At 37.7% G+C, this 15,344-nt stretch overlaps 1 long non-coding RNA gene across 1 annotated transcript in view; it reads right to left on the bottom strand.

The window, feature by feature from the left end:
• Positions 1-2,117: 2,117 nt before the first annotated feature.
• Positions 2,118-15,344, bottom strand: part of LINC02750 (long intergenic non-protein coding RNA 2750) — a 64,973-nt gene continuing 51,746 nt past the window's right edge. Inside the window, exons 8-10 of the long non-coding RNA NR_183624.1 lie at positions 11,578-11,668; positions 4,585-4,678; positions 2,118-4,114 (exon numbers count right to left, since the gene is read on the bottom strand). This is a non-coding gene — a long non-coding RNA (long intergenic non-protein coding RNA 2750). The remainder of the gene's footprint in view (positions 4,115-4,584; positions 4,679-11,577; positions 11,669-15,344) is intronic.

Here is a 15,344-nt window from a genome sequence, read left to right as displayed (position 1 = left end):
TGTTGAATCAAAAGGAAGGTTTAACTCTGTTACATGAATCCACTCATAACCAAGAAGTTTCACAGACAGCTTCTTTCTAGTTTTTATCTGAGGATATTCAGTTTTTCCCCTTAGGTTTCAATGGATTAAAATGTCCCTTTGCAGATTCTACAAAAAGATTGTTTCCAACCTGCTGAATCAACAGAAAGTTTTAACTCTGCAAGATGAATCCACACATTACAAAGCATTTTCACAGATAGCTTCTTTCTAGTTTTTATCTGGGCATATTCAGTTTTTTTCCACAGACCTCAGTGGGCTGAAAAACATCCCTCACAGTTTCAACAAAAATAGTATTTCCAACCTGCTGAATCAAAATAAAGGTTTGCCTCTGTGAGTTGAATCCACGTATCACCAGGCAGTTTCACATAGCATTTTTTTTTTTTTACTTTTTATCTGAGGATATTCGTTTTCTTCCCTTAAGCATCAATGGGTTCCCAAAAGTCCCTTCACAGATTCAATAAGAGTGTTTCTAACCTGCTGAATCAAGACAAAGTTTTAACTCTGTTAGATGAATCCACACATCACCAAGCAGTTTCACAGATAGCTTCTATTTTTTATCTGGGGATATTCATTTTTTTACCCATAGGCCTTAATGGGGTACCAAATATTCTTTTGCATATTCTTCATAAAGAGTGTTTTCAAAATGCAGTATCAAAAGGAAGTTTTAACTCTATAAGGTGAATCCACATATCACCAAGCAGTTTCACAGATACATTTTTCCAATTTTTATCTGGGGATAATTAGTTTCTCTCCATAGGCCTCAATAAGCTCCCAAATGGCCCTTTGCAGATTCTATTAAAAGAGTGTTTCCAACCTGCTAAATCAAAACAAAGGTTTAACTCTGTGAGATGAATCCACACATCATCCAACAGTTTCACAGATAGCTTCTTTTTAATTTTTATTTTGGGATATTCAGTTATTCCCCATAGGCATCATTGTGCTCCCAAATGTCCCTTTGAAGATACTACAAAAACAGTGCTTACCACCTGCTGAATAAAAAGAAAGGCTTAACTATTGGGTTGAATCTATACATCACCAAGCAGTTTCACAGATAGCTCCTTTCTAGTTTTTATCTCAGGATATTCGGATTATTCTTAATGCTTCAATGGGCTCCGAAATGTTCCTTTGCAGATTCTACAAAGAGAGTGTTTTCAACCTGTGAATCAAAGGGAAGTTTTAACTCTGTTAGATGAATCCACACATCACAAATCAGTTTCACAGATAGCTTCATTCAAGTTTCTATCTGGGGATATTTGATTTTTTCCCACAGGCATCAATGGACTCCAAAATGTCCCTTCACAGATTCTACAAAAAAATATTTCCAAACTGCTGAGTCAAAAGGAAGTTTTAACTCTGTGACATGAATCCACACATCACCTAGCAGTTTCACAGATAGCTTCCTTCTAGTTTTTATCTGGGGATATTTGGTTTTTTTTTTCCATAAGCATGAATGGGCTCCCAAATGTTCCTTCACAAATTCTACAAAAAGAGTGTTTTCAACCTAGTGAACCAAAGGAAAGGTTAAACTCTGTGAGATGAATCCACACATCACCAAGGAGTTTCACATATAGCTTCTTTCTAGTGTTTATCTGCAGATATTCGGTTTTTCACTATAGGCCTCAATTGGCTCCCAAATGTTTCTTCACATATTCTACAAAGAGAGTGTTTCCAACCTGCTAAATCAAAAGGAAGGTTTAACTCTGTTAATGAATCCACACATCACAAAGCTGTTTCACAGATAGCTTCTTTCTATTTTTTATCTCAGGATATTCGGTTTTTCCTTGTAGGATTCAATGGGCTTTAAAATGTCACTTCACTTATGCTACAAAAAGAGTGTTTCCAACCTGCTTAATCAAAAGAAAGGCTTAACTTTGTGAGATAAATCCACACATCACAAAGCAGCTTCACATAGGGCTTCTTTCTAGTTTTTAGCTGGGCATTTTCCATTTTTCCCCATAGGCCTCAATGGGTTCCCAAATGTCTCTTCGCAGATCCTACAAAATGTCTGTTACCAACCTGCTGAATCAAAAGAAAGGTTTAATTATGTGAGATGAATCCACACATCACAAAGCAGTTTCACAGATAACTTCTTTCCAATTTTTATTTTGGGATATGTGGTTTTTCTCCATAGGCCTAAATTGTCCCCCAAATCCCTTTCAGAGATTCTACAAAAAAAAGTGCCTACAATCTTCTGAATCAAAATAAAGGTATAACTCTGTGAGATGAAATGACAAATCACAAAGCACTTTCACAGATAGCTTTTTTTCTAGTTTTTATCTGGGGCATTCAGTTTTTCCCCATAAGCCTCGTCAGGCTCCTAAAAATCCCTTCACACAATCTACAAAAAGAGTGTTCCCAATCTACTAATCAATAGAAAGTTTTAACTCTGTGTGATGAATCCACTCATTGCTAAGCAGTTTCACAGATAACTTCTTTCTTGTTTTTATCTGAAAATATTCAGTTTTTCCTCATAGGTTTTGATGGGTTTTGAAAATTTCCTTCTCAGATTTTACAAAAAGAGTGTTTCCAACTTGCTTAATAAAAAGTAAAGTTTAACACTTTGAGATGGATCCACACATCACAAAGCAGTATCACACATAGCTTCTTTCTAGTTTTTATACGGGATAATCGTTTTTTCCCCATAGGCTTCAATGGAATCCCAAATATCCCTTTACAGAATCTACAAAAAGAGTGTTTCCAACCTGTTGAATCAAAATAAAGGTTTAACTCTGTGGGCTGAATCCACATATCACCAAGCAGTTTCACAGATAGCTTCTTTCTACTTTTTATCTGGGCCTATTCGGTTTTTCCCTGTAGGTTTCAATGGACTCCCAAATGACCCTTCACAGATTCTAAAAAAAGAATGTTTCCACGCTGCTGAGTAAAAAGAAGGATGTAATTCTGTGAGGTGAATCCACAAGTCACCCAGCAGTTTTACAGATAGCTTCCTTCTAGTTTTTATCTGGGGACATTTGGGTTTTTCCCATAGGTCTCAATGGGCTCCCAAATGCCATTTTGCAAATTCTACAAAAAAACTGTTTCCAATCTGCCGAATTCAAAGAAAAGTTTAACTCTCTAAGATTAATCCACACACCAAAAAGCAGTTTCACTAATAGCTTCATTATAGCTTTTATCTGGGAATATTCAGTTTTTTTCCATTGGACACAATGAACTCCCAAATGTACCTTCACAGATTCTACAAAAAGAGTGTTCCAACCTGCTAAATCAAAAGAAAGATTTAACTCTGTGAGATGTATCCACACATCACCAAGTAGTTTCACAGATTTCTCCCTTCTAGTTTTTACCTGGGGATATTTGGTTTTTCCCCATGGGTCAAAATGGCCTCCCAAATGTCTCCTCACAGATTCTACAAAACGAGTGTTTCCAACCTGCTGAAACAAAAGGAAGGATTAACTCTGTGAGAGGAATGCACACGCCACAAAGGAGCTTCACATATAGTTTCTTTCTACTTTTATCTGAGGATATTCATTTTTTCCCGACAGGCCTTGACAAGCTCTGAAATGTCTCTTTGCAGATTCTACAAAAAGAGTGTTTCCAACCTGCTGAATCAAAAGAAAGTTTTAACTCTGTCAGATGAATCCACACATCACCAGGCAGTTTCACAGATGGCTCCTTTCTAGTTTTTATCCGAGGATATTCTGTTTTACCCCATAGGACTCAAAGGGCTCCCAAATGTCCCTTTGCAGATTCTACAAAAAGAGTGGTTCCAATGTGCTGAATCAAAAGAAAAGTTTAACACTGTGAGATGATTCCACACATCACAAATCAGTTTCCCAGATAACTTCTTTCTAGTTTTTATCTGAGGATATTTTGTTTTTCCCCATAGGCCTCAATGGACTCCCAAATGTCCATTGGCAGATTCTACAAAATGAGTGTTTCCAACCTGTTGAATCAAAAGAAAGGTTTAATTCTGTGAGATGAATCCACACATCACAAAGCAGTTTCACAGATAGCTTCTTTCTAGTTTTTATCTGGAGATATTTGGTTTTTCCCCATAGGCCTCAAAGGGGTTTGATTTTCCCTTCACAGATTCTACAAAACGAGTCTTTCCAACCTGGTGAAACAAAAGAAAGGTTTAACTTTATGAGATGAATCCACACACAACAAAGCAGTTTCACAGATAGCTTCTTTCTAGTTTCTATCTGATGATATTTGTTTTAACCCCAGGCCTCAATGGGCCTTCAAATGTCCCTTTGCAGATTCTACAAAAAGACTGTTTCCAGCTGTTGAATCAAAAGAAAGGTTTAATTCTGTGAGATGAATCCACACATCACAAGTAGTTTCACTGATCCCTTATTTGAAGTTTTTTTTTCTGCGGATATTCTGTTTTTCCCTATAGGCCTCAATGGGCTCCAAAATGTCCCTTCACAGATTATATATATATATATATATATATATATATATATATATATATATATATATATATATATATAAAAGTGTCTCCAAACTGCTGAATCAAAAGAAAAGTTAACTCTGTGAAATGAATCCACACATGACCAGGCCATTTCACAGATAGCTTCTTACTTGTTTTTTTCTAGGGATATTTGGTTTTTCCACATAGTCCTCAATGGGTTCCAAAATGTTCCTTCATATATTCTGCAAAAAGCGTGTCTCCAACCTGCTGAATGAAAAGAAAGATTTAACACTGCGAGATGAATCTGCACATCACCAAGCAGTTTCACAGCTTCTTTCTAGTTTTCATCTGTGGATATTTGTTTTTTCTTGTAGACCTCATTGGGATCCCAAAAGTTTCTTCACAGATTTGACAAAAAGAGAGTTTCCAACCTGCTGAATCAAAGGAAATGTTTAAATCTGTGAGATGAATACACACATCAACAAGCACTTTCACAGAGGCTTCTTTCCAGTTTCTATCTGGGGAAATTCACTCTCTCCCCATAGACATCAATGGCCTCCCAAACATCCCTTTGCAGATCTTACAAAAAGAGTGTTTCCAACCTGCTGAATCAAAAGAAACATTTAACTCTGTGAGATGAGTCCACACATCACCAAGGAGTTTCACAGATAGCTTCTTTCTAGCTTTTATCTGGGGATATTCACTTTTTCCACATAGGATTCAACAGGCTCCCAAACGTCCCTTTGCAAGTTCTATAAAAAGAGTGTTTCCAACCTGCTGAATCAAAAGAAAGGCTTAACCCTTGAGGTTAATCCACACATTACAAAGCAGTTTCACAGATAGCTTTTTTCTAGTTTTTATTTTGGGATATTGTGTTTTTCCCATAGACCACAAAGGGCTCCCAAATGTCCTTCCACAAATACTACAAAAACTGTTTTTCCAACCTGCTGAATTAAAAGAAATCTTTAAATCTGTGAGATTAATCGACACATCACAAAACAGTTTCACAGACAGTTTTGTTCTAGTTTTTATTTGTGTATATTCAGATTTTCCCCAAAGGCCTCAATGGGCTCCCACATGTAAATTCGCAGATTCTACAAAATGAGTGTTTCCAACCTGTTGAATCAAAAGAAAGGTTTAATTCTGTGAGATGAATCCACATATCACAAAGCAGTTTCACACATAGCCACTTTCTAGTTTTTTCTAGGGATACTCTGTTTCTACCCATAGGTTTCAAAGGGCTTTCAAATGTCCATTTGCAGATTCTAGAAAAACAGTGTCTTCAATCAGCTGAATCAAAAGAAAGGTTTAACTCTGTAAGATGAATCCACACATCTGGCATTATATGTGAATGCTTATTATTTCAGAAATGCAGATTTGTTTATATGGTTGGAGTTTCTAAGTCCTCTGCACTATCCATTAGTGCTGTCTGTCTGGATGTGTTTCCTGATCTTTGTGTGAGGAAGTTGCCCCTGTTCAACATGACTCAAAAAGAAAATAATAGACTCATTGGAGTTTTGTCATGATGTGCCAGGGGCATCATGAATGATGTCTCCCACGAAGAATGACAGCAGCTGCCAAAGGATGCAGTAGGCAGGCACTGGCCCGATTACAGAGCAGTGAGTCAGTTTCAGGAGGCTGTGTGGAAATACAACTGATTCCTGAGGCAGTGAGGAAGGGGGAAGAGCCGGAAGAAGTTACAGGGAGAAGCAGAGGATGCTGCCTTCATTGGAGGATGCTTCGGTCCTGAGCAAAGTGGAGAAGAACTAAAGGCCATAGCACTCCCTTTGGTGAATGGTTGAATGGTTTGGAAAGGGGAAAGAGTGAAAGGGGAATGACAGTGTTACATGGGACACATTAGAAGGCAGCTGAGAAAGATGAAGAAAATTCCTCAGATTAGGGAGCCACAGAACTGGCTTCTAGCACTGGAACTCTCTCTCACTGTGTGACTTAGACAAATTATCTCCACTTTTCTTGTGGATCTTGTGTAAAATAAAATGGTCTGATGTCTTCTAAAGGTCCTTCCAACCAGAAAATGATCTGAGCAAAACAGTCTTATATGACACTGCTTCTGAGTCTATAAACACACACATTTAACTCAGACTATTTCAACTGCATGCCTGGCAAAAAGAGAAGGAGTAGGTGGAGTGGAAGGGAGAAGAGAGAGAGCCCAAGACCAAGACAGAATAAACCCATAAATGAAGCAATGATGATAATGCTGGCCCATCTTCACATCTATGAAGTGACTTAGCCAGAGTGACTTAGAAGACACTTGATTCTTCACCCCTCACATTTCATCTCAGCACCTACTGTATGAGCATCTCACCCTCTTGAAAAACACTGGTGTTTAAACATATTACTCTTATGATGAAGGAAGAAAACCTGTTTGGGTTGGGTTTAGAGAAAAATGGCACATTGAACTTTTATGTAGTGTCTTCCTAAATAATCTTCAATGACAATTCATAATATATGTGATTTTTTTCTTACCTCATGTGCTGACTCCAGAATTGTAGAATGCTACACCTACTTCCTTTTACTGTTCTGGGAATCGCAGTTGTAACTTAGGGAGTGTATTAAAGAGATCCACTAAGCCATGAAGACCTGGATGAGATCATAGTCATCATTCTTAGAGTATCTGTCTAAAAGTGATGACAGTAACAAAAATAACTAATTTGTGTCAAGGGTCTTTGTGCCATGTACCGTGTGGAACATTTTATACATATTCTCAGGTTTTCCACAACGATCTCATGGTTCGCTCAACAACTAACTTACTTTATTGCCCACTTACTACATGACAGAAAGTCTTCTCAGCTCCAGGGAGATAGTAGCAAACAAAATGAAATAAAGTTTCTGTTCTTATGATGTTGAATTCTGATGAGAGAGAGATGATAAACAAATAAATATATACAGCATCAAGTGATGAGAAGCCGTATGGAGAAAAATGAAGCAGGATAAGGATAGAGAATGTCAAAGGGAGGCTTACATCTGTAATCCCAGCACTTTGGGAGGTTGAGGCAGGAGGATCACATGAACCCAGGAGTTCAAAACCAGCCTGGGCAACATAGTGAGACCCCGTCTCTACAAAAAACTTTAAAAAATTAGCTGGATGTGGTAGCATACACCTATAGTCCCACCTACTTAGGAGGCTGCCTTGGGAAGATTGCTTGAGCCAGAGAGGTTGTGGCTGTAGTGAAATGTAATCACACCACTGGACTCCAGCCCGGGTGGCAGAGCTAACCTGTCTCAAAAATGTTTATATATATAAACATAAAAATATGATATATATAACTATATAAAAAAGACAGAGGATGCCAGAAGGAAAGGTGGGTGCAATTTAAATAGGGTGGACAGAGATGTCTCTCTGGTAAGGGTGAGCAAGCAAGGGAATGAGTCCTATGCCCAGGCCAAGAAAGCACTGGGATTGCCCTGTCTGCACATGGGGAAACCAAGCTTCCAAAGCCTCTTATTTAATAAAAGATGATGATCTCACTACATCTCAACACAGCCTCTGCTTCACATATAACCAGATACAGGTCAGAAGAGGGCTGTGACTATACGAGATTAGCAAGTCCAGTGGAAACACGAAACTCCACACGTCTCCTAGCACATCATTGCTTTGTCTGTGTAAAGCTTGATCTGGTTGATTTCTTCCTATTACATTGAAATAACAGAATGGAAAGTTGCATTGGTGTTACATAGAAAATTTATAAGTTTTCCTGATTGTTTTCTCCCTTTTACTCAATCCAGGAATAAAGAGTCAATGCAGCATGGATTCAGACATGCTCACAGAGGGTCAGGGGACTCCTCAAAGAGGTTGCAGGGACTTCTTTGTCAGGTGACAGAGATGTTCAGTGGTCAGAGCTCCAGGTTGACAACCCCTGCTTTAACCAGAGCATCAGTGACTCTGTATTATACACTGTGGCTCTGAAAATGAGATTTCTGGGACCCGCACAAAGCTTGAAAATAGTGTGCATGCGATGGCTCCTTGTGAAGAGGAAATAAAGATGTTCTTTGAGTCATCTTAAAAAACTGGCTTTAAAGTCAGGAAACAACAGGTGCTGGAGAGGATGTGGAGAAATAGGAACACTTTTACACTGTTGGTGGGACTGTAAACTAGTTCAACCATTGTGGAAGTCAGTGTGGCGATTCCTCAGGGATCTAGAACTAGAAATACCATTTGACCCAGCCATCCCATTACTGGGTATATAACCAAAGGACTATAAATCATGCTGCTATAAAGACACATGCACACGTATGTTTATTGCGGCACTATTCACAATAGCAAAGACTTGGAACCAACCCAAATGTCCAACAATGATAGACTGGATTAAGAAAATGTGGCACATATACACCATGGAATACTATGCAGCCATAAAAAATGATGAGTTCTTGTCCTTTGTAGGGACATGGATGAAATTGGAAATCATCATTCTCAGTAAACTATCGCAAGAACAAAAAACCAAACACCGCATATTCTCACTCATAGGTGGGAATTGAACAATGAGATCACATGGACACAGGAAGGGGAAAATCACACTCTGGGGACTGTGGTGGGGTGGAGGGAGGGGGGGAGGGATAGCATTGGGAGATATACCTAATGCTAGATGACGAGTTAGTGGGTGCAGCGCACCAGCATGGCACATGTATACATATGTAACTAACCTGCACAATGTGCACATATACCCTAAAACTTAAAGTATAACAAAAAAAAAAAACTGGCTTTAAATGTAAAATTTCCTTAAAAGTTTCCAGTGGAATAAAAATCATAGGTGGTAGCTTGTATGTTTTCAAAAATAAATGTTTTTTTATGTGTTTCTTGGCTGCATAAATGTCTTCTTTTGAGAAGTGTCTATTCATATCCTTTGCCCACTTTTTGATGGGGTTGTTTGTTTTTTTCTTGTAAATTTATCTGAGTTCATTGTAGATCCTGGATATTAGCCCTTTGTCAGATGAGTAGGTTGCAAAAACTTTCTCCCATTCTGTAGGTTGCCTGTTCACTCTGATGCTATTTTCTTTTGCTGTGCAGAAGCTCTTTAGTTTAATTAGATCCCATTTGTCAATTTTGGCTTTTGTTGCCATTGCTTTTGGTGTTTTAGACATGAAGTCCTTTCCCATGCCTATGTCCTGAATGGTATTGCCTAGGTTTTCTTCTAGGGTTTTTATGGCTTTAGGTCTAACATGTAAGCCTTTAATCCATCTTGAATTAATTTTTTATAGTGGCACTATTCACAACAGCAAAGACTTGGAACCAACCCAAATGTCCAACAACAATAGACTGGATTAAGAAAATGTGGCACATATACACCATGGAATACTACACAGCCATAAAACATGATGAGTTCATGTCCTTTGTAGGGACATGGATGAAACTGGAAACCATCATTCCCAGCAAACTCTCGCAAGGACAAAATACCAAACACCGCATGTTCTCAGTCATAGGTGGGAATTGAACAATGAGAACACATGGACACAGGAAGGGGAACATCACACACTGGGGACTGTTGTGGGGTTGGGGGAGAGGGGAGGGATACCATTAGGAGATATACCTAATGCTAAATGACGAGTTAAAGGGTGCAGCACACCAACATGGCACATGTATACATATGTAACAAACCTGCACGTTGTGCACATGTACCCTAAAACTTAAAGTATAATAATAATAAACTAAATAAATAAATAAATAATTAATTAAAAATAAATTATGGTACAATGGAATGTTCACCCAGACAAATTAATTATTCATTCCCTTACCCTAATTCAACAGTATTCCATACACAGCACTTATCACAGTGCTTACTCATATTTATATGTTTGTCTGAGTTTCCCTGAAAACTAGGGATTCATAAATAAATAAATAAATAAATAAATAAATAAATAAATAAATAAATGTTGTATGCAGGTATGGTATTGGGTGAGAAAGGATTTTAGGCAATTCTAATCAAAGATTTGAAGAAACAATTAAAGATCACTGCCTGACTATGCTTTTCTCTCTCATCTTTTCTGATGGATGTAATGGATATGACAGGCTCTATTTAAATACACAAACATGGGTACTTATCTATAGACTAGAGCTTTATGGGTTTTTTTTAAGGTCAGTTCTTTTTTAAATATAAACATTGAATGAGGAGGGACTTCTTCAACTCCAAACATTTCAGGAAACGTCTAATTTTCATACTGATTAAATTAGAAGTCTTACCCATTATGTGAATAAATAAAAGGAAGAACTGTAAAGAGGCATTGAAAGCCAGAGTTTCTTGTCCAATGAAGTTAATAAGAAAATAATTTCCTCATAATTTCACTGTTTGTTGCAGTTTGGTTTAAAAAAAATGGTGAATATTCAGGGCATATAGATAGATGTTGTTGGCTGTGGTGGTTATGTGTGTGTGTGTGTGTGTGTGTGTGTGTGTGTGCGTGCGTGTGTGTGCGTGTGTGTGTGTGTGTATATATGTTCAAGGGTTTGCTGAGAAAAAAAGGCCTGTCTCCCCTTTTTTCCCCCTAAAGGACCATTAAAGCAGGGAACAGCAATTATTCTCCAGTTTGCATTTGCTCTTTTCTCCTTTGAGTGATAGCCCCTCACTGCTTTTTGGCAGGTCACATGGCTGCCTATTAGAAATATTAGAAATGCTTCCCAGGAGCTAAGCGATGCTTTGTGACTAAGCTCTCACCAATGGAGCAAGAGTGGAAGTGACAGGCAGACCTGCTGAGCCACCTCCTTAAATACAATTTGTTTCCTCTTTACTTTCTCTCTTTCCTCCTCACCATGAACAGGAACTTGGATACATAGTGTGAACCATTCTTACCTAGGTAGGTGAGAAACACACTGGAGGGTGACAGAGCACCATGGGAGAAGGAAGAAGGAAGAAGTATCCACCCATGGATGCTCGGGTAATTTAGTGGAGAGGAGCTACCTACAGCATGCATCACATGCCTAACGGATCTGAGGAAAAATTAGAAGTTGACCTGGACCCAGAATACTGAATTTTTGAATCCCATTCTTTACCAGCCATCTATTATCCTTTTAGGTGCACAAGAAAATTGTATATGTAAATGAGGATTTAGTTTCAAACTCTAGTTCTCTGCTCCACTGGATCACGCAGAGCAAATGTTGCAAACCTGGTCACCAACAGGGGCTGGGCAGGTAAGTGCAAAGAAGCAAAACTTACTGAGTAGAGCTTGGTGTAGTGGAGAATGTGTGATCCACCTAAAGGACTGTTGTTCTGGGACATGGGCCTCAGCATTTCTTGATATTTTTACCTGTTTAAAAGAAAATAGAAATCCAGATTTTTTAAAAGTAGAATCCACAGACTTTTTAATTAACAAGCTAAGTTTCACAACATTTTAAAGTAAAAATACTATGCACACTGTGATACTTAATTTTATATGTCAACTTCTCTGGCCCCCAGGGGGCCAAATACCTGGTTAAAATATCTGGGAGTGTCTGTGATGGTGTTTCTGGAAGAGATAGCATTTGAACTGGTGGACTAATAAAGCAGATGGCCATCTCTAATGTTGAGTGTGCATCATCTAACCCTTTGAGGGCCTGAATAGAGCAAGAATGTAGAAGTTTGAATTAACTCCGCCTAACTTCCTGAATTGTGACATTTATCTTCTCCTGCCTTCGATACTCCTAGGTCTCAGCTGTTCAGCTCTAGACTGGAATTTACATCAGTGGCTTGCGTTTGGATCATAATCCTGAAAGACACAATTCCAAATGCCATAATCCTGAATGGTGAAATTCCAAAAGATCAAAATTCCAAAAGTTTAAATCCTGAAAGATCAAAATTCCCAATGTCTAAAATTGTGAAATTCACAATCCCAAAAGATTAAAATCCCAAATGTTGAAATCCTGAAAGCCAAATTCTGGGAAGCTGTATGCAGGATAGTTACATCATGTAGGCAAAATTATTATCTTCTTATTGTCTTTATTTGCATTTGGTGGAAAAGTCAAATGAGTGGATTAGCCACAGCATACAGCAACAAATAAAACTTCAGTTTAAAAATGCATCATTTACCTTCCTACTAATGACATTTCAGGAGGTTTTAATGAATTAAAGCTGAATTTGCTTGAAGAAGCCAGTAAAGCTTACTGACTGGTTCAAAAATTATTATGTGCACAGTAGGATAAGAAGATGTAATGTTCACAATGGCATTGCTGTTCGATCACCAGCACTGTTTCTGCCAAACTTGTGTTCTGTCTATGAGGGCACGTGAAATGGATTTCTGTGAACCCTAAACAACGTAGAAGCATGGCACAGAAGGTAGAAAGCTTTAATAGGAAATGCTCATATCAGTATACATAGAATCATGGAAGAATTTTGAAAAGAGCAGTGCCACATAGGAAATGAACGTAAACATATTATCTGAAGAGAGCCATGCCCTAAAAGAAAAAAGCAGATATTCATTGTGATGAAAGACTTCAAAATATAGTTAATGACCATGAAAGTCCGCCAGTTCTTAGGGATTGTCTCTGTGCAATTGCCCACAATCTGTCCTTGTAATAATACACTTTTTCATATGTCAAATTTTAGTTTTAGTTTTCTTTCTTAGTATATTTTTTACTATTTTAAATTGTACTATTTTTACAACTTACTATGCATTTCATCTTTGTATCATTTTCAATACTGGAGGTGTAAATGGTGTAGAAACTTTTAGACAGTTCTGATACTTTTTATGCGTTTTCAAATTTGATTCCATGAAGTACATTATCACAATGTGGACTGTGTTTAAACATTATGCATATACATAAAAATACTGAAACTTCTTCAATAAATAAAGAGATATCTTTTCTGTACATCTACATTGTGAAAGATAGAATTTCTCAAGATCTTAGCTCTTTGGGGTATGGTGTAAATGATGGTTTTGATTGGTCCCATCAAAAGACTTAGGTGGTTGGTCATGGTATTTCAGATGACCTCAGTTATAAAGCTAGGTGCACACAATTACCAACCATAGTGATATGTGTTTATACATTTCCCTTTTTGACCTCTTTATGAATACAGTACATCTGCTCATAACTGTTATACCCATGTGACTGTTGTTAGCATATCTCAGTGTTTATACTTGCAAACATATGCATATTATTGCTTATTTTATCACATAAAGTGGCCTATGAAGTATTCATTCATGTTTTTATGTTTCTTAGATAAATCCTCCTTTAAAAATGTAAATAAATATTTTAGATAATTTTAATTTTCTCCAGAAGTACATTTTGGGGATTTTGATCTCTTGGGATTTCAACATTCAGGATTCTAGTGATGGGGCTTGTGCCTTTCGGGATTATGATTGGCTCCCCATTGGCTCTCTTGCTCTCAGGCCTTGGAAGTACATCAAAAGCTTGCCTGGGTCTCCAGTTTTCAGGTGGCAGAATGTGGGGCTTCTCTGCCTCCATAATTGCATGAGCCAATGATTTATAATAATCTCTTTTATCTACCTTTCTATCATTCAATCCATCAATCATGTATCTATCCATCTCCTATTGATTCTGTTTCTCTGGGCAATCCTGACTAATATATGCACCAACAAAAATATTTCTGCATGGTAAGGCCCTAAGGCCTAAGAGAAATTTCCTGTTGCTTGAGCTAAAAATTAATCTAGGATCTATTACCAAAGCTATGTGGTTGGCGGACATTTTGAGTCACTCTGTGAAGTCTCACAACAAAATCCTGGATATCTAATCTGTTAGTAAGATAAATCTGTTTTAGGCCAAATGTATATAGGGAGCAAAAAGATTCAAGTCCAAATGAAAGAGAGAAAATTAGCCTAATGTCTTGAGCAGATATAGTATGGACATTTGATCAAACCTTTCTTGGCCAAGCCAGTAGTTCTGGAGACTATTTTCCTAGCCATTGGAATTAGTTAGGTTTTCCTGGTTCAAACAAAATAACTTGCTAACAAGCAAAGTGAACAATTTATTGGAATGCCACAAACATCTGGGAATTTGGGCAGAGCAGCAACCAATGAAACTTTTAGAATCTTGTCTTCTTGTCTTTTTTTGCCAATGAGAAGACTCAGCATCTAGTACCTTTGACCTTGTCTTTACATCTTAGCTGGAGCTCCATACCCACAACTAATAGCTGCTAAATGTCTCGAATCATGTCTGAATAAGGGACCAGGTAACTATGCCATAGTACACATAGTCAATGGACTGGGATGAAACCATCAGAAAGGATGTGGTAGATCTGTTTGCTACTTGCGGAAGTGGGGCACCAAGGTTATCAGCCACACAGAGTGGGAAAGGGAAGTTCCACAAACAAAAACCACAGTGCTCCTTCTAAAAGAAGGGGAAATTATTCTTGGTTAGGCCAAAACAATAGATATTCATCATCATAACAGTTTCCATGGGAGGGTTCCCTTCTGGCATTTCTTGGGAAAATTGTATATTTTTTTCTGAGTCCCATATCCTGAGAAAAATGGGTTTTAGAAATCAGAAAAATGGAGAGGGGGAAGTATTGCAATTCTCTTGTGAGAATAAAAGATTAACATTCAACTTAGAGACATTACTTCTGAAAGGAATGCAGTAACGTCAAGAAGAAAGCAAGAGCAGGAAAAGCTGACATGCAGAGTTGAAGGTCGAAGTCAACATTTCAAGTAACTGGGAAAGGGGCAAGAAGAGGAGAAACAATCACTGTCTCACCACTTTTGCTCATAGCTGTAGCCATGTAATAAATGCACGTTCATGATGCTGTCTGTCACTAATGGTAAATTTTTACAATTAAAGTGAATGTTAAGGTTCTTCACATGTTATCCTTTATCCTCTCTACTAAACCTATGGGTGGTGTTCCAAGAAATAAAAAGTTTTGAAAACAAAATAAGTTATTCAATTGATCTCTACACATGGTTCTGTGTAGAGCTGTTAATCTTAAAAGATTAGAATGTTACATCATTTAAAAGCCACTCAATAATATTCAACTTTTCTAGTACTTATATATTC

Source organism: Homo sapiens, chromosome 11, assembly GCF_000001405.40.
Source record: "Homo sapiens chromosome 11, GRCh38.p14 Primary Assembly".
NCBI classification, from domain to species: Eukaryota; Metazoa; Chordata; class Mammalia; order Primates; family Hominidae; genus Homo; species Homo sapiens.
The sequence above is the reverse complement of the archived record's forward strand: the minus strand, read 5'-3'. Positions and strand labels throughout refer to the sequence as shown.